The sequence below is a fragment of the Homo sapiens genome, chromosome 17, assembly GCF_000001405.40.
Source record: "Homo sapiens chromosome 17, GRCh38.p14 Primary Assembly".
Classification (NCBI taxonomy): Eukaryota; Metazoa; Chordata; class Mammalia; order Primates; family Hominidae; genus Homo; species Homo sapiens.
In genome coordinates, this window is record NC_000017.11 from 11,867,058 (window position 1) to 11,886,272 (window position 19,215).

The 19,215-nt window shown below is 43.9% G+C and overlaps 1 protein-coding gene and 1 long non-coding RNA gene across 7 annotated transcripts in view; one reads left to right on the forward strand and one right to left on the reverse strand.

Moving 5' to 3' along the window:
• DNAH9 (dynein axonemal heavy chain 9) overlaps positions 1-19,215 on the forward strand; it is a 371,279-nt gene that overhangs the window by 268,588 nt on the left and 83,476 nt on the right. For 4 of the 6 annotated variants that reach the window (XM_011523703.3, NM_001372.4, XM_017024292.3 and 1 more), the window contains 6 exons: positions 2,077-2,196; positions 4,541-4,729; positions 7,892-8,127; positions 13,021-13,143; positions 14,152-14,356; positions 16,529-16,693. In XM_011523703.3, coding sequence (XP_011522005.1) covers positions 2,077-2,196; positions 4,541-4,729; positions 7,892-8,127; positions 13,021-13,143; positions 14,152-14,356; positions 16,529-16,693 — 1,038 coding nt within the window. Of the gene's footprint in view, positions 1-2,076; positions 2,197-4,155; positions 4,209-4,540; positions 4,730-7,891; positions 8,128-13,020; positions 13,144-14,151; positions 14,357-15,844; positions 16,116-16,528; positions 16,694-19,215 lie in introns of those variants that run through there. The other 2 variants (XM_017024294.2, NM_004662.2) reach the window with 2 other exon arrangements.
• Positions 7,668-18,138, reverse strand: LOC101928350 (uncharacterized). Its single transcript, NR_188181.1, has 3 exons — positions 17,914-18,138; positions 8,665-8,823; positions 7,668-8,056 (listed from the first exon to the last, which is right to left on the reverse strand). It is a non-coding gene; the product is annotated as an uncharacterized LOC101928350 (long non-coding RNA).

Genomic DNA, 19,215 nt, shown 5'->3' on the forward strand with positions numbered 1-19,215 from the left:
GTGAGATGAACCTGGTACCTCAGATGGAAATGCAGAAATCACCCGTCTTCTGCGTCGCTAACGCTGGGAGCTGGAGACCAGAGCTGTTCCTATTCAGCCATCTTGGCTCCTCTCCATTCTTTTTTTATATGGTGTTTGGCATGTAAAGATTCATTTTCTTCAGCTCTAGAAAATTATTTTGTATTATTTCTTTGGTAAATTCCCTTCTGTTTACTGTTTACTCTTATTTTCTGGAAAGCATATCTGTCAGATGTTGAACCTCCTAGATCAGTCCTCTGTTTTCTTCCATCTTTTTGTTACTGTTTGTTTTCTTATGCTTTTCAGGAAATTTCCTCAAATTCTCCTTTTAACCTTTCCCTTGATTTTGTTATATTTTATATTAACAACAATAGTGATTTCCACAAGAGTTTTTTTTTGTTATTCTCTCTTCCTTTTAATAACATCCTGTTCTTGTTTTGTGGATGAATCATCTTGAATCTGTCTGAGAAACTGTGAAAGTTTTAACTTTGTTGTTGCAGTTGCTGTTTTTGTTGTTACCAAAATTCTGCCTCTTCTTCCTAGGTCATTTTTTTCATCTTGTTTAACTTAATCTAAGCCTGCATTAAATCTCTTCTTGTCCTTTCATGTTTACAAGAGTAGCGATCAAAAGCTAATTCTAGGTCTGCAGGCAAGGGCAGAGCTGGTTGACTGGTAGAATTTGTTTTCAAAATCTGATGAGTTATGCCAAGATGTGGCACCTTTATTCTCTGCCTCTATTGACTTTCTTACATGGTGACATAGGTGACTGGTGGCATTGCATACTGTGCATGTGGATGGAGATATGAGGTCAAGAATCAATAGGCTTCCAATTAATCTTCATATTTTCATCTTCCCCTTCAATCACACCTGACATTTCTGAGATCTCCAGTTTGTATAGGGCTCTGTGTGCTGATCAGTTTCCCCTTTGGTGAACAACAGCTAACTCTAAGTTGTCACGTCCTCTGCCCTGCTCCAGCGGTCTCCACTTCTTCAACAGTGTGGTCCTCCATAAATCTGTTGGACTCCCTCACCCTCCAAATGGCCCTCACCAATTTGCTTGGTGTAATGGGCTTATGACTATTTTAATTGCTTCATAATCATTTTAGAGAAGTCTTGGGAAGTGTAGGAGGTAAATGAGCATGGCCAGTCTGCCATCCTTAATTGGATGGCCCACCACCTGCTTTTTAAACTGCTTGGATGTTTAAGCTTGGCCCTACATTGATTTCTCTTGTGCCTTAGTAATGACCAACAAAGCAGCCTGAACCCCAGTTATTGCACAGACCTGAGATGTATTTGGAGGTATCTGCTGTGTGTCCATGTATCTTTGTGTGTAAAAATATGTACTCAGAGGACAACAAAAGCTACGTACTTCAATTTTAAATTCTTAATACATTTTTAAATATTGAAATTATGTCTTTTTTATGTTCCTATACATTGTGTTAATGGGAGAGACTAGATGAGGTTAAGTAAAAGTTACCTTGTACTCTAGGACCTTAGAGCCAGTGGAGGACTTAGATTCCGGACAGCCCAGCCCCAGACTAGCTGCAGCAGATACTGGCAGTTGTCCTCCCTGGCCCACGTGGGTTGCTGTTGACCTTTTTCATGCTAACCCCAGTTTTGATGTGTTCTTGCTTCTAATAGCAGCACCTGCACCATTTTGTCAGGCTACTGGAACCCATTTTTCTCCAACTCAAGCAGAGGCAGAATGTATGCACCCTTCCCCCCATCCACATCCCTGACACCTCGTAGCGTTCAACACCTCGATGACTGCGGTGGTGGGGTATGAAGCTCAGCTCTCTCATCTTGGAGTAGGACATTTCTGGATGTCCACTCCACCCTCCCACTGCAGGACCAAGATGAAGTCCTTGCTAGGACCCGCCTGAGATCTTCCCCGAATGTGCTTTCATTTCGTTCTCTGCCCTGCTTTCCCTGGTCCCATAGGAATGCCCCCGCAGAGTGCTTCCTTCAGAACCACCTCCATGTGAACCCTCATCTAATGAGCACTGGTAGTTACATGGGCCGAAATGACTGATGGTCCTTGTATTCCTTCCTAAACAGCACCTTAATGAAAACCTGGCAAAGCTCACAGCCAGGTTTGAGAAAGCAACAGCAGACAAACTCAAATGTCAGCAAGAAGCCGAAGTGACCGCAGTCACCATCTCCCTTGCCAACCGCCTGGTGAGTGTAAGCCACAGCAGCCCGAGCTGTAATTATATTAGCAGGCTTGTCAAATGCCGTGGAGGTGCAAGATAGATGAGCACAGCACAGCAGCGCTTTGACTTGGAGGGAAGTATTAAAATGTGCTGAAATGCAGGAATTGAGTCCTGAGGAAAATGTGGATGCATAAACCCTAATCTGGTCAAAGGAGTTTTCTTATAGACATGGTTGGGAGGATGGGAGCACTGGATCTATCAGGCAGCTCATGCAAAATGGTAACACACTTATATTCATGTGTATTGACCAGAGGAAACATTACAAGACAAAGCCAGCATTTTATAGGCAAACCATGACATTCCTATCTATGTAACATTTCATTATAAGGGTGTGGCCAAGATTAGGAACTGAGATAGAAACAGAAAAGAATGAGACCTACTGACCCTGAGTATTTCAGAAAACACACACAGACACACATATACACACATGCTCCGGCCTTCCTGGGAAATCAAGTCTGCAGGTCAGGGCAGCGGTGCTTGTGTTATGGGTGTTTGTTTCTGCATAAAAAAATTACTCCAAAGCTTAGTGATTTTGTACAATAACCATTTCATAATATCTCACAAGTTTGTTGAGGGCAGGGCTCAGCTGGCCAGGTTTTCTGCTCCATGTGGCCATGACTGGGGTCACTTGGTACATTCAGCTGGTGGCCGGGCTGGAGGCCCCCGAGATGACTTCCTTCACATGCTGGGCATCTTGGCAGTGATGATTGGAAGGGAGGGTGCAGCTGGTCCTCTCTCCCTTCCTCAGGGCATTTCCACGCATTCCCTCTAGCAGGGTAGTCGGACGTCTTACACAGTAACTCAGGACATCAAGGACAAGTGTCCCAAGAGGCAGGAAGTGGAAAGTCCCAGTATCTGAAGGCCTGGGACTGAAAACTGGCACAACAGCACTTCCGCTGTACTCTATAGGTCAAAGCAGTCACAGATTAAAGGGCAGAGAGCACAGACAGCAACTCTTAATGACAGGAATGTCAAAGAATTTACAGCCTTTTAAATCTCCTATGGCTTGTATTTCTCATCCCATATATCAGCTAAGACTCTGCAAAGCAAGTCAAATGGATATGATTTCTCTTCAAGCTAGAGACTTTACAGCACCCTCCTCACCAGTGAAGGGAAGTACATTCCACACCTGTTGACATTTATTCCAGCCACCACTGAATTACACAGCAGAGCCAGATGTTTTAATCTGGGGAACAGTGAGTCATAGCGATCACTGAATGGAGCTGTGATGTAATGAAGACCTGCCATACCCAAATGTGTGTCTGTGCAGTTGTCACTGGACCAGCTTCTGTGTGGCTTTGAGATGATCCGTTTAGCTGAACAGTTCAGTTTAGAGATAGCAACTCTTGCCAATGTGCAAGAAGTCCTCCAGATCTCCTAGCTGGCCTGCCTTCCATTCACCTCCCTGCTTGGTTTCTGAACTTAGCGCAGCCTTCTCTGCCTGGCTGGAGCACTTTCTGAGTCAGTGCTCATGGGAGGCAGTGTAGCACTCTGCTCTAGGAGTCAGGATGTTCAGGCTCTGAAGCCACCCCTGTCTCTACCGACCTAGAGATTCTGGTGAGATATTTGGACTTTCTGACCTTTGTGTAATCTGAAAACAGGCATGTGAATGACTGGGTTGGCAAATCTCTAAGGTCTGTCCAGACTGTGACGTTCCATGATGTTATCATTAGAAGAAAAAATAAAGGGTGAGTCCTAACGCAGAAGCAAAGCTCCGCCATACCACTAACAGTCCTCTGTAGAAAGAATGGCTCTCCTCCCAGGGAGACTGTACCAACCCAAAGAGGGCTGGGGGGTCAGGACTTTGTACACACCCATGACCTTACCATGCTTCTCTGTGTCTCAATTAGCACATCTGTCTCCTCGCCCGCTGTGAATTATTTATGGTGCATGGACTTGATTTTGTTTATTTTCATTTCCCCAGCATTTGGAAAGGAGAAAGAAGTGGCTAATTTTCTAACATGTTCCACAGACCAGGTATTGTGCTAAATAATAAACATACATGATTATATTTCATCCTCTCAACAACCCTTTGATTAAGTGGTATCAGTCTCCACACACAGAAAGAGCAGAGTCAAACCCTGTCATCTTTCCATGGTTCATGTGATGCATGACACAGAATGGGGGCTTGTGTACTGAAAGCTTTGCTACAGGCAGCACAAATCCCCATTAACGGAAAGGGCCATATAAGTGATATTCTGCCTCTTCCCGCTATGAAGCGTGCAGCGGGCGCTCTCCATGATGGAATCACGGCTCTATCACCTACTGTGTAACACGCCTCCTCTCCTCTCTGGCTTTTGAAATGGTAGGTTGGAGGACTCGCTTCTGAAAACGTGAGGTGGGCAGATGCCGTGCAGAACTTCAAACAGCAGGAAAGGACGTTATGTGGAGACATTTTACTTATAACGGCTTTCATTTCCTACCTTGGCTTCTTCACAAAGAAATACCGGCAGAGCCTCCTGGACAGAACTTGGAGGCCCTACCTGAGCCAGCTGAAAGTACGTATGGCCTGAATTTCTCCCGACCACATCAGCCTCTGGGCACCAATGGGAAGACATCACGGTCATAATTCGCATCCTCTGGTGTCCTCCTGCACACTCATCCCCACCACCCCCTGAGCACCAGGTGTGAAACCTGCGTACCCGTGTCCTTCCACACTGCCTTGCATTGCTGCCCACTGCCCTCCAGGCCACCTGGGGGCAGCACCTCTCCTCTGAATGTAGTCCTCCATGGGAACACTAGTCCTCTTCCCCGCGGGCTGTCTCCTAGCAATCCTTAAAGCTGTGAAACCTGAGAGATAGAAAAAGAACCATTTTCGTCTCTGATCTCCCCACTCCAGAGCCAGACTTCATAGGAGCAGTCAGGGGACGTTCCATTTCCCAGATCCTACATTGCACCTTGTTACTGGGCCCTAAAGCTACACAGCTTGTGCCAGTGACTCACAGATATCCTTCGTCGGCTTCCGTCCTGCATAATCCCATGAACAGCTGCTCACATGCTTCTTATTTGGGCAGTTCAGCTTGTCCTCCTCGTGTGGCTAGGTGGATGTTACTCCCAACCCATCCCTTTACATCACCCGCCCCCCACCCCCTGCAATGTAACTAAATGGAGAAATACTGGTTTCCCATTAAAGGGGATTCAAAGCTATACTTGGACGCGAGCATCAGAAGTTCTAATATTTTCTTGGCACTTTCGCATCACTTCTAGCAACCCACAAATACTTCCTGTGTATTTAGTGTGTCCTACCACTCCACTATACAGGAGGCACACAAAACGTTCAAGACCGGGATACCTTTGGCAAGTTCCCAGTCCACTTGAGGAGATTAGGCTCATAGAAGTCAGCGAAGGTGGGCCGGGCGCGGTGGCTCACGCCTGTAATCCCAGCACTTTGGGAGGTTGAGGCGGGCGGATCACGAGGTCAGGAGATCGAGACCATCTTGGCTAACACAGTGAAACCACGTCTCTACTAAAAATACAAAAAATTAGCCGGGCATGGTGGCGGGCGCCTGTAATCCCAGCTACTCGGGAGGCTGAGGCAGGAGAATGGCGTGAACCCGGGAGGCGAAGCTTGCAGTGAGCCAAGATAGCACCACTGCACTCCAGCCTGGGCGACAGAGCGAGACTCCGTCTCAAAAAACAAACAAACAAAAACAGTCAGTGAGGGTGAAAGTCAGCCCCAAATTTCACAACATAAGGTAAAAGCTGTATTCCAGATCTATTTGTAAGTAGAACCTTAGAACAAAAACTCTTTCTGTAGTGATGATTGTTTTCTCAGATCAGCTCATAAAACCCTGCTCACCTGACAATTAGCTGAACCGTAGTTTTTAAAATGCTAGCAAATAAACAAAAAATAAAGCAGCTGTTTGACTCATCCTAAACACTTTTGGAAAAAGGAAATTGTTGAAGGAACCATCATTAACTGAGTGAATGAAGAAGAAGAGCTCAGTAGCAGCTTAGTGAGGATTTTTCTGGCTTTGTTTGGATTCTTAAGCTTTTTTGTGTCATGGACGTCTTTGGCAGTCTGGTGAGACCTACGGATTCTTTCTCAGAATAATGATTTTGACACGTCAAATAGAATGCATGAGATTACAAAGGGAAAAAATATATTGGAACACAATTCTGGTCCCAGATAAGAATCCCCAAGGGGCTGATTTCCCTTCAGAGGTTTGCTGGATACTGTAGTACTGGCCATTTGTGCCCTTGTTAGATACAATTAAGAGGATGGGAGATGGTTTGGAGAGGTTTCCCTGGGATAATTGGGCAGAACAAACTTCAGAGAGGAGTGAGATGAAGGAGTTAAAAGGGTATTTGTCTAAACCTCGAAAGCATTATGCTAAGTGAAAGTAACCAGACACAAAAGGTCACATATTGTAGGATTCATTTATAGTAAAATATCCAGAATAAGAAAATCCAAGGGGACAGAAAACATATTCATAGTTTCCACGAGCTGGGGGTAGACAGAAATTGCGGGGGCTGTTGAATGAGTATGGGATTTGGGGGTGATGAAATGTTTTGGGGGTAGAGCCGATGGCTGCATAATGTTATGCATAGACTAAATGCCACTGAATTGTGCACTTTAAAATGATTAATTTATTTCATATCAATGTTACCTTAATTTAAAAAAATATATATGGGTCATCAATGAAAAAGATTGCCTGTAAAAAAAATTAAGTGAGCCCGGCGTGGTGGGTCACGCCTGTAATCCCAGTATTTTGGGAGGCCGAAGCAGGTGGATCGCCTGAGGTCAGGAGTTCGAGACCAGCCTGTCCAACATGGTGAAACCTCGTCTCTACTAAAAACACAAAAATTAGCTGGGTGTGGTGGCAGGCACCTGTAATCCCAGCCACCTGGGAGGCTGAGGCAGGAGAATCACTTGAACCCGGGAGGTGGAGTTTGCATGGAGCTGAGATGACGCCATTGCACTCCAGCCTGTGTGACAGAGCAAGATTCCATCTCAAAAAAAAAAAAAAAGAACTGAGTGAGCAGAGAAAGGCTAACAAAGAAGAAAAGGCAGTGTCTAGGGCACACACAGGAGCCCTGAAGGGGCCTAAGAGAGGCCACAGGCAAGTTCTCAGACTGATAAATACTCGGCAGCTTCCCCACAGGCACCAGCAGGCAGGTTTGCAAGAGTCCTGCAAGTGAATGGGGTGTTTGGGGAAGAGAAAAAGAAAACCCGTCCAGCCTCTTGCAAGCTGGTGAAACAGAGGAGAGGAAAGAGTGGTTTGTGCCGGTTGGTACAGACAGGAGCAAACCCACTAGGCATGGGACCTGGTGCTGGTTCATGGAGCGTGCACAAGAAACACAGACATATAGCAGAGAAATAACACTGTTAACATGGGTGAGAGTGTGTAGGAGGTCGTAGATTAAAATACAGATAATATAGTAGAAACTTGACTTAGGTAAAGATACCGAAAAACAAAGAATCAGTCACACGAGTTGAATTTCTGCAGTTATTCATCCATGGAGGGGAAAAAAAAAAGCTATCAGGACTTTAATAGAACCTGCTTCCAGAAATAATCACACAGCCAGAAAGGCATTCTTCAGTGGGATGTTGATCTTGCTTTTAAAGGAGTTGTGTCATTTGGTGAGTAACTGCATTCATCCCAGCTGAGAATGTCTGCTTCTGTTCTGAGCGTGGGGTGGTGTTTCTTCTTCACCAGACTCCCATTCCAGTCACCCCAGCCCTGGATCCCCTGAGGATGCTGATGGATGATGCTGACGTGGCTGCCTGGCAGAACGAGGGCCTCCCAGCCGACCGCATGTCCGTGGAGAATGCCACCATTCTCATCAACTGTGAGCGCTGGCCACTCATGGTTGACCCTCAGCTACAAGGCATCAAATGGATCAAGAATAAATATGGTGAAGATCTCCGGGTCACGCAGATTGGTCAGAAAGGGTAAGTGGTTGAGCACAGAAGTTCCCACTTTAGCCATTTGTGCAGGAAAATGTATAGATCATGAGCAGATTTTAAGCCCAGTGAATGGTTTGTACACTCCTGGTCTCTCCATCAGGCTTCTCACGTTTCTCCGTCCATTTTAGCAAACATCTCAATGAAAGATGCCTGGGTACTAAGTCTTTGCTTTTTATCCACATGAGAAATTATGTACCACAACCTCTCGACCCATTCTGGGGTCCTTTCTTCACCATCCCTTGAGCTCATCCTCTCATTGTCCCTTAAACATTTCCTCCCCAAACTTCATATCCCATTGTCACATAGCTCTGTGCTTTATAAAGTTTTCCTCACCCTTAGCTAAAGCTGCCTCCCTTATCTCTCCTCTACCCATTATTTCTACCTCTGCCCTAGAGCCACATACAAAGAACAAAACTCTCCTCCTGAGGCACAGTTGAACATTTCAGTAGGTCCCATGAAGCAGCTGAGTTAGTTATGAAACCTTCAGAGCCCTTGGTACCTGCCATATGGCTTCGTACTTACCTGTGGGAAAGTTACCACGTGAAGGGACTTGAATGGCACTGAGAATGTCTGGCCAGCACCCACCAGGCTTCAGTGGCTTGGGCCTTGACATCCCTCATGCCTCCCTTCATTTTAGCCTTGTGGTTTCAGTACTCATCCTGTTCTATGTCATCAGGACACCTGGGGAAACAGGATGGGGCAATGGGGAAGAGGAAGTGAGGCAGACATCATTCATTAGGAGGTTGATATGCATCAGTCTTGGTGTTAGAGGTTTTATCTCAAATGCCGTCCTTAATCCACACAGTTAATAAGGTTAGTAATCAACTGGTTAATAACCAGTAAGGTTATTGGTTCCATTTCACGTCCGAGGAAGCAGAGGTTCACAGAAGTTAAGTAATTTCCCTGGGGAGTTCGCCATTTTAAAAGTGATGGAAATTTGGCACTCGTGTTTATAGCAGCATTATTCATAATAGACAAAAGGTGAAGAGAACCCAGATAAATGGATAAACAAAATGTGATGTACACATGCAATGGAATATTATTGCCTTAAAAGGAAAACAGTTCTTAAAAGAGCATAATTAGATTGTGATACAAAGGAGAAATGCTTAAGGACATGGATACCCCATTTTCCATAACGTGATTATTATGCATAGCATCCCTGTATCAAAATAGCTTATGTACCCCATAAATATATACACCCATGTACCCATAAAAATTAAAAGTAAAAAATGTTTTCAAAGAAAACAATTTAAATAAAATAAAATTGAAGTTAAAAAAAAGGGAAAAAATTCTGACACATGCCACAACATGGATGAATCTTTAAAGTGTTATGCAGAGTAAAATAAGCTGGTGACAAAAAGACAAATGTGGTATGATTCCTCTCATCCAAGGTTCCCAGGGTAGCCAAATTCATTGAGACAGAAAGTCGAATGGTGTTTGCCAGGGAGTGCGAGGGAGAGGGGAATGAAGAGTTAAGTGTTTCACAGGTACAGAGTTTCAGGTTTTGTTTTTTTTGTTTGTTTGTTTGTTTGTTTTTTGAGACGGAGTCTCACTCTGTCACCCAGGCTGGAGTGCAGTGGTGCGATCTCAGCTCACTGCAACTTCCACCTCCCGGGTTCAAGCAAGCGATTCTCCTGGTTCAGCCTCCTGAGTAGCTGGGACTACAGGCGCCCACCACCACACCCGGCTAACTTTTTTTTGTATTTTTAGTAGAGACCGGGTTTCACTATGTTGGCCAGGCTGGTCTCGCACTCCTGACCTTGTGATCTGCCTGCCTCAGCCTCCCAAAGTGCTGGGAGTGAGCCACTGCACCCGGCCAGTTTTGGTTTTTCAAGAACAGTTCTGTGAATGGATGATGGTGATGGATGCACAACAGTGTACTTAAAGCCATGGAACTGTACACATTAAGACGGCACACAATATATGTTACATATATTTTACCACAATTTAAATATATTAATTAATAAATATGTTTAAAAAGTAATGGAGGCAGCTGGGCGCAGTGGCTCGAGCCTGTAATCATAGCACTTTGGGAGGCCGAGGCGAGCAGATCATTTGAGGTCAGGAGTTCAAGATCAGCCTGGCCAACATGGTGAAATCCCATCTCTACTAAAAATACAAAAATTAGCTGGGCGTGGTAGCAGACGCCTGTAATCCCAGCTACTCAGGAAGCTGAGGCAGGAGAATCTCTTGAACCCAGGAGGTGGAGGTTGCAGTGAGCCGAGATCGTGCCATTGTACTCCAGCCTGGGGGACAAGAACGAAAACTCTGTCTAAAAAAAAAAAAAAAAAAAAAAAAAAAAAAGTAATGGTGGCAGTATTTGAAGCTGGGTCATCCTCACTTAGAAACCTAAGATTTATCCACTCCAGCAAACAGCCACTCAAAGTGAGCTTTGTTGCTCTGGCCACGTGTCCCAAGCATGCACGCACTAAGGTCCAGATCACTCGGGGTTGTTCAAATTGAACACATGATGTTAAAAATAATAGTTAACCAAGTCAAACATTAAATATTATAAATGCATCCATCTTATAGAGCAAACTTTGTTGAGAAGTGAATGCCAAGGCATGCTATGATATATATAGATAGATATAGTGGCGCTATCTCGGCTCACTGCAACCTCCACCTCCTGGGTTGAAGCTATTCTCCTGCCTCAGCCTTCCGAGTAGCTGGGATCACAGGCGTGTGCCACTATGCCTGGCTAATATTTTGTATTTTTTGTAGAGACAGGGTTTCACCATATTGCCCAGTGGTCTTGAACTCCTGACCTCAGGTAATCCACCTGCCTCAGCCTTCCAAAGTGCTGGGATTACAGACATGAACCACCGCGCCCGGCCAATATGATATATTTTTATTTGCATCTTTAGTCACATAGTAATCCAACCCTGGCCTTCTCCCGAAACTTTAATTAAAATATTCTTTTCCAGCTGACTAACAATGCATTTTAGACAGGTGTATGTTCTTTTTGCTCATTGCAGTGTCCCTAGTGTCTAAAACACTGCCGAATGCATTGTAGGCCCTTAATAAATATGTTCAATTAATTCTTAGTTCATGTCCATTAACTACTTTCCTGTTGAATGGTTTTCTAGATTTGTTGTATATTATTTGAATACAAATGTTGCATTATATGTAATATGTATAGTCTTCTTTCTTCATATGAATGAAAATTTGTTCGTCTCATTTGTCTTTTAATTTACTTTTGTGAGGTTTTACCTACTACAGTTCATTTTATTTTAGTTTTTTATTTGATCAGATTTGTCAGCCATTTATTCTATAAGTGATGCCTAGAGGAGTCTTTTCTCTCCAAGAATTTTTAAAATATTCACCTACATTTTTAGTTTTTAGTTTTTTTGTTTGTTTGTTTGTTTGTTTGTTTTAAGACAGGGTCTTACTCTGTCACCCAGGCTGGAGTACAGTGGTGAAATCATGGCTCCCTGCAGCCTCGACCTCCGGGGTTCAAGCAGTCCTTCCACCTTAGCCTCCCAGGTAGCTGGAACTACAGATGTGCAACACCATGCCCTGCTAATTTTTGGATTTTTGTAGAGAGGGTGTCTCACCATATTGCCCAGGCTGGTCTCAAACTCCTGGTCTCAATCTCCTGGCCTCAAGCAATCATCCCACCTTGGCCTCCCAAAGTTCTGGGTTACAGGCATGAGCCACCAGGCCTGGCCCATTTTTAAGTTTTTTGAGTTTTCTTTTTACATGGAAATCCAATCAATTTAAATATAGTTTAAGCTATTATATGTGGTACAGACTAATTTTCCAAGTGGTTAGCTATTGTTTCAATACCAAATATTAAATTTTCCATTCTTTCCTCAATTAATTAGACATGTCATTTTACTATATATTAAATTATTTTATTAAATAGGGTCATTATTCTTTTCTATGTATCTAATACTACACCAGCTCTTATTTACTTTTATATTTAGTAACATTTATTGTGGTGTTTCCCATTACAAAAGTAATGTATCATCACTGTAAAGAAAAATGAGAGGGCGGGGTAGGAGTTATCATAAAAAACAAAGAAATAAAAACTTCTATAATTCATCTTTCAAAAACACTGCTAACTTATTGGTATATGCTGTCCTTTAAGCCTTCTTTCTACACATCTATATTGTTGATATATATAAAATATGTAGTATTAGATAATGACTCCCTCCTCTTCTTCTTTATTGGTTTTCTCCTTGCCAGCCTCACTGTATTCTTTTAGGTTAACTTTAAGATCTTTGGTTGAGTTCCATAAAGTTTTACTGTTATTCTTTGTTTGAGTTGTATTATATCAGTCTTATAAATTATTGTTATTCTTTGTTTGAGTTGTATTATATCAGTTTTATAAATTGACTTTAAGAAAATCAAGCTATTTACATATTTATTAAACTCTACATAACACTGAAAAGTTAAAAGTAACCTAAATCTTTGTTAATTGATTGATAAATTAAGGTGTATCAATATGGCCTAATACCCAGTCATTTAAAATTACATGGAAGGATGTTTAATGACATGGTGAAGTGATTACAATATATTTTCTGTAAAAAAAAACAGGTTATAAAACAAAACACCATATGAATCTAATACTCTCAAAGCTAAACTTGACAATATAATATATTCAAATATACGTAGTATACACCAAAACGTTGAAGACACATTATGGTTTTCATTATCTTTTTTGTATTTTATAATTTCTCCCTATTTCTAAAAGTGTATAGAATCACATAAATATCACTTTACATAGGGAAGAAATGTGGCCACTGAAAACATTCCAAATAGCTGTGCCTCCAACTATACCACCATGTCTTAGAGGTCACGCTTGTCTCATTAAATGGTCTCAACTCCATAGCTTGCCACAGTCTCATACTCCCGGACTCATACTTGTTTCCCTAGCTACCTTCAAATCATAGAGCAGGCCCTGGAAGCTGGAGCTGTGGTGCTGATTGAAAATCTAGAGGAGTCCATTGATCCTGTTCTGGGACCCCTGCTTGGGAGAGAAGTCATTAAAAAAGGACGGTAAGACTCAGCTGTGTTGCTGACCCTTCGGGGGGAGCTGGTTCATGGCCCTGGTTAGAATCATGAAGAGGTCTGCTCTTCCTAGAATTTCCTCTCTTCAGTTCATGTCAAGTAGCTCCCTGCAGCACATCCACCTTTCTTTCTTCCAGCAGAGGTCTATTTAGTGGCCTTTGTTTCCTAGAGAAAGTTTCCTGGAGAAACTTTGCTTCCATCAGCCAGTGTCCCAACTGACTTCCTTCTAAATGGCCACAGTGCACAATTTTGGAAAAACTTGAGAAGGAAATCGGTCAAAAAGCAGACTGACTTTTAAGTACGAGCATCTTATACAAGCCAGTCATCTGAATTCTGACAACTCGGTTCCTTGTCAATTTAATGAGTCTCTGCTGCTTTGAGTGCTGGCTCATGATGAGGGCTTAGCAAGCACAAGGCAAAGCAGGGGGTGGTGTGGAGAGGAAAAGAGAGGAAGGAGACGGGCAATGGGTTCGTATGAAGGGCAGAGTAATTATCATGAAGGGGTGCTTGACTCAGGAGCCTCACCCACTGCTGGGGCCATCGTTGCCTTTACTGTCCTCAAGTCGTGCTCGTTTACTTGGTTAATCATTTTCACCCATAGATGTCATTCCCATGTCAGCCATGAGGAAAAGTAAGCCCTATTGCTGGCGTATAAAGCACGTTTGTGGAAACTGCAAGGTGGTTCACCTTCCTCCAGACACTTCACTGCCATCTGCTGGAAATTGTTCATAATGTACTAATCTACATTGACACAACAGGCATGGCTCTTCCTAGAGTTGCACAGTACAGAACCAAACATGGTGGCCATGGGAAAACATCTATCCCCCTCCACACCTGTTCCCAACATTAGTGCAAAAAAGAATCCCAGGGCTCATCCTAGACATAGGAGGAATCCATCTGAATATAGCAATATTGTTTGAAAAAAATCTCAAATTCTGACCCCAACCAAATTTTGCAGGAAGGCACCTTACCTTCACATGAGCCTTTATGTTCCAGATTCATTAAAATTGGAGACAAAGAATGTGAATACAATCCCAAGTTCCGGCTCATCCTCCACACCAAGCTGGCTAATCCTCACTACCAGCCTGAGCTGCAGGCTCAGGCCACCCTGATCAACTTCACCGTGACCAGGGATGGCCTGGAGGACCAGTTGCTGGCCGCTGTGGTCAGCATGGAGAGGCCAGACTTGGAGCAGCTGAAGGTGAGGACAGAAGGGAGAAAATGTTCTGCCACTAGAGCCTGCAGTGTACTCCACTCTGGGAGAGGTTGCAGAGGGGGGCTGTTTTTCCTGGATTGAGTTAGGTGGGTTCTGCTAGACTCTGGAAGACTGCTGACCCCATGTAGCAACCTGGGAATACCATACTGGGGAAAGAAGGATGGGTGAGCTGAAGAACAGAAGCAAAAACAGTTTGAAGGCCGGGCATGGTGGCTCATGCCTATAATCTGAGCACTTTGGGAGGCCAAGGTGGGCGGATCATGAGGTCGGTAGTTCGAGACCAGCCTGGCCAACATGGTGAAACCCCATCTCTACTAAAAAATAAATATTAAAATTAACTGGGCATGGTGGCGCTAGCCTGTAGTCCTAGCTACTCGGGAAGCTGAGGCAGGAGAATCTCTTGAACCCGGGAGACGGAGGTTGCAGTGAGCCAAGATCGTGCCACTGCACTCCAGCCTGGAAATAGGGCGAGGTTCTGTCTCAAAAAAAAGAAAAAAAAAACAGCTTGGAGACTGGACACTCCTATGACCAAGAGCAGAGCCTGGCATGAACATGAGTGCTGCTGATCACACAGGTCCACGTGCCAGAACTAAGCGGAATGAAATTCTACAAGGGTAACAGAACTAGGTCCAACAGTGTTAGGGTCATGTCTTAGCTTGGGCTGCCATAACAAAATACCATAGACGGGGTGGCTTAAATAACACATATTTGTTCTCCTATAATTCTGGAAGTTGGAAGTCTGCGATCATGTTGGTTTTTGGTGAGGCCTCTTTTCCTGCCTTGGAGGCAGCGGCCTTCTCACTGTGACCTCACATGACCTCTTCTTTGCACATAAAGAAAGCCATGGCTCCACCCTGATGACCTCATTTAACCTTAATTACCTCCTTAAAGGCCACATCTCCAATATAGTCACATGGGGGAGTTAAGGCTTCAACATAGGACTTTTAGGACAACACAATTCAATCCACAGCAGATAACGTGCTTTTTGTCCTCTCTTTAAATGTGATTAGATTATACAATATGGCGGGGTCGGTAGGTGGAATTCCAGTGCATGAGAGATTGAGTTCAGGGCTCCCTGGGACTCCGCTTCCTGCAATCATTCATTCATTGAACAGATACCTAGGGAGCACCACCTCTGTAACAGGCAGGATTTGAGGTATGGAGGATTCAGCAGTGAACAAAGAAAACCATGTCCCAGCCTTCATGGAATCTACACTCTAGTGGAGGAACACAGAAAACAGCAACGTAAACAAATGAACAATGCCATTCAGATAGTGATAAGAATTTTTAAGAAAATAAAACAGGGTAATACTGGAAAGCCAGAGGGCAAATTTAAACAGTGGTGGTCAGAAAAAGATTCGGTGAGGAGTTGGCATCTGAGCTAATTCCTAAATAATTGTAAAGCCTCTGGGCATAGAGCATTCCCAGCACAGAGAACAGCAAATCCTGGTCTTAAGGCAGGATCAAGATATGTGGTTTTAAGAAACAAGAAAGGTCAGGGTGGCTGTGGTTGGAACCTCCAACAGGAAGGTTGTTCTTCCCACGAATCCAAAGGCTGTACAAGGGCAAAGACACTACAGCTGCCTGAAGTTAGTGCTTTAGGATATGGAGCATAAAGAGAGGAAGAGATGAGATCCACTTGGATACCAGCACCCCACTCCAGCCTCGAGGAAGCTTTTACACAGTCTGCCATGGTTTTACACAGTTTAAAACTGGAAGACAGATTCTGCTGATTTTTTTTTAAGTAAGCCATAGGAGAGTTGTTCATTAAAGTAAATTGGTAATAGAGAGAACTCTCCAGAGAACTAAAACTGGACCCTAACCCTCTAGTTACACAAATAAGCTCCGTTTAGTGAACACTGATAATGCAGTGTGTTGCCCATTGTGCATTAAGCATAGCACAGAAATCCTAAAAGTTGGGACTGGGATTACAGAAGAGTAAAGAGGGTAAACTGGCTCAAGGTCATGTGCCCAGAATATTGTACAGTTGGGCACCAATTTGACTCCTTGTCTCCTGCTCATGGTCTGAAGCTCTTTGCCATTCTGCCTCCACTTTACTATCTTTAAGGCAAGGGACTCTCGCCCTATTCAGACACATCCTTAGAGCAGGATGCCCTGGGCATCTGCACCTGACTGTCTCTTGCTTGATATTTGCAGTCCGATCTCACAAAGCAGCAGAATGGATTCAAAATTACCCTGAAAACGTTGGAAGACAGTCTTCTCTCTCGCCTCTCCTCCGCCTCTGGGAACTTCCTGGGAGAAACAGTGCTGGTGGAAAACCTAGAGATCACCAAGCAGACTGCTGCCGAAGTTGAGAAAAAGGTAAAACTCCTCTGGCTAGTCTGGGAAGGCAGCCTAGGCTGGGGTCCTCCTACAATTTTCTCTCCTCTTAGACAATGAGTCTGACTTTTAGAAAAATGTCAAAGTAACACATGGCTTTTCTGTCTTAGCAAGGTTCTTCTAGAAAGTCTACCTAGGCAGGACTCCTGAAGTGACTACCCCATATATCTTGTATTATGTAGTTCCCACCTTCTGGAAAATACTTTTGATGTCTTAACTCCATCCACAGTTGAGGAACACTTAAGCCTTTGTGGGGCCTGGTATTCTGTGCAGGGAATGGTAGCTCAAAATGGATACCTCAGATAGTGTGTGGAATTGCCCTGAAGCTAAGGAATCGCACTGCTGGAAAAGCCAACTGGTTTGGGCATGATTGCATCCTGACAAAACCCACCGGACCGCAGAATCTCACAAGTCTGATCTTAATGAGAAAACCTCAATAACTTCCTAGGAAACTCAGCTCTCAAAAACTGTATCATCCTGGGAAGTGATGACACAGTGCCCTACTGTGTGTAGCTTCCTTTATTTTATAATGTTTGGAAGGCCCTCGGTCCCCCCTGTGAGGACTAGAAGACGGGGTGTGATGGGAAAGGGGCCCAACCCCTGCTCTGTTCCAGCATACCACCAAACCTCCAACAAGGCCTTTTGCAGTCTCAGTCTCGCGCTTGCATCAGAAGGGCATTGGAGATATTGGCCCTGAGCAGGACAGAGCATATCTGTAACAGTGTCCAGGAACAATATACCTTTGACGGAAGATGCTTATTGCCAGATTATTGGGATTTCTCCAAATATGAAAGACTTCGTTCTAGGTAGAGACAAGGTAGGAAATATGAAAAGCAATGATGGGTAAGACAGATAAACCAGGTCATACCCACTCTGGGGTGAGGGACAGTTGAGGTTGGAGTGATGAGATTGAAAGGAGGAAGAGTCAGCCGAACATTGGGTCAACAGCAGGGATGTGACCACCAGGTTCCACTATCAGTTACCTATGGCCTCCGTATCTCTGGTTGGGGGCATGAGAGTTTGTAAAGTAATTACGGTAGAGCTGCCACTGCCCTGGATAAGAGAGCTGGGGAGACAGACCCAACTTACATCAAGAGAGTAGGTCAGAGGATGGGATGCAGCATACTGATCTCTTCTCCCCACCTCTTCATCTGTTTTTTTTTTATCTTTTTCTTTAAAATCAATGAACACTTATTGAGTACCTGCTGTGTGCCGAGGGTTGTATGAAGCTTTCTTTTTCCTTTTGTTGTTCAGTTTCTTTTTGTCTTCTCTCTCTTTCTCATTTATTCATCTCATGAACACTTACTTGAAGGCCACTGTATTCTAAGATCCATGATGAAAGTTGGAGATACAGCAAGAAATTTGCTATAATCCTAGGCTTTTAGGGCCTGGCCCTCTAAGGAAGAAAGACAAGTAAACAGGCAGTTACAAAACAGGGCTGAGGGCTGAGGCCAAGAAAGCACAGGGATCAGTGAACACACAAAGGAGGAACACTCAACCCACATTGGGTGAGAGGGAGGAGGTGCTTCCCTTGAGTGTAACTGGAACATAGAGGGGGTGGGAGCTGGAAGTGGTCACTGGCAATAAGGCATGAAAGGTGGCCTGAGTTTCCGTTGTATAGGGCTGTGTAAACCATGCTGGGAAAATTGGGCTACGTCCTGATGGGCATCAAAGATCATAAACCTCTTTCACATATTTTCCATCTCTGTTTCTTTCTGAGTTGCTTTTGTAACAATTTCCTGAGATTTCTCTTTTAGTTTGCTGATTTTCTTTTCAACTCCAGTCTATTATTTAAACTGAACACTTTTTAAATTTAAATAACTATACTCTTATTTTTAGAAGTTGTAGCTAGTTCTTTTCCAGATATGCCTGTTCTTTTTCATAATGTCCATATTTTATGCTTCCTTTTGTGTCCACTGCTCTAAAACATACTTTGTTAATGGTGAGTTTGTTCAGTCATTCTCAGTTCATGAGATGCTAATCCTTCTGGGTGTTTTTAGTTTAGTTTTGTTTTGTTTTGGAAAGGGGCCTTCTGATTGTTCCCTTTTGTAATACTCCTGCAGTTTGTAATTGTTTATTATGAGAACATCTTCAATAAGGATCATTGCCTTTTCCTGTGGTGCTCCCACAAATTATCAGTAACTTTCCTCTATTTTGGAGCATAAGGGCAGAGCATATTGAGGTTTGCTTTTAGAAGCATAGTCTAACAGAAATCTGTCTTCCTGATCCTGAGGTCTCCTTTCTTATTTTTACCTGTCATAAACAATTTTCTGGCTGGGCGCGGTGGCTCACGCCTATAATCCCAGCACTTTGGGAGGCTGAGGCAGGTGGATCACCTGAGGTCAGGAGTTCGAGACTAGCCTGGCCAACATGGTGAAACCCCTTCTCTACTAAAAATAACAAAAATTAGTCGGGCGTGGTGGCAGGCGCCTGTAATCCCAGCTACTGGGGAGGCTGAGGCAGGAGAATCGCTTGAACCCAGGAGGCGGAGGTTGCAGTGAGCC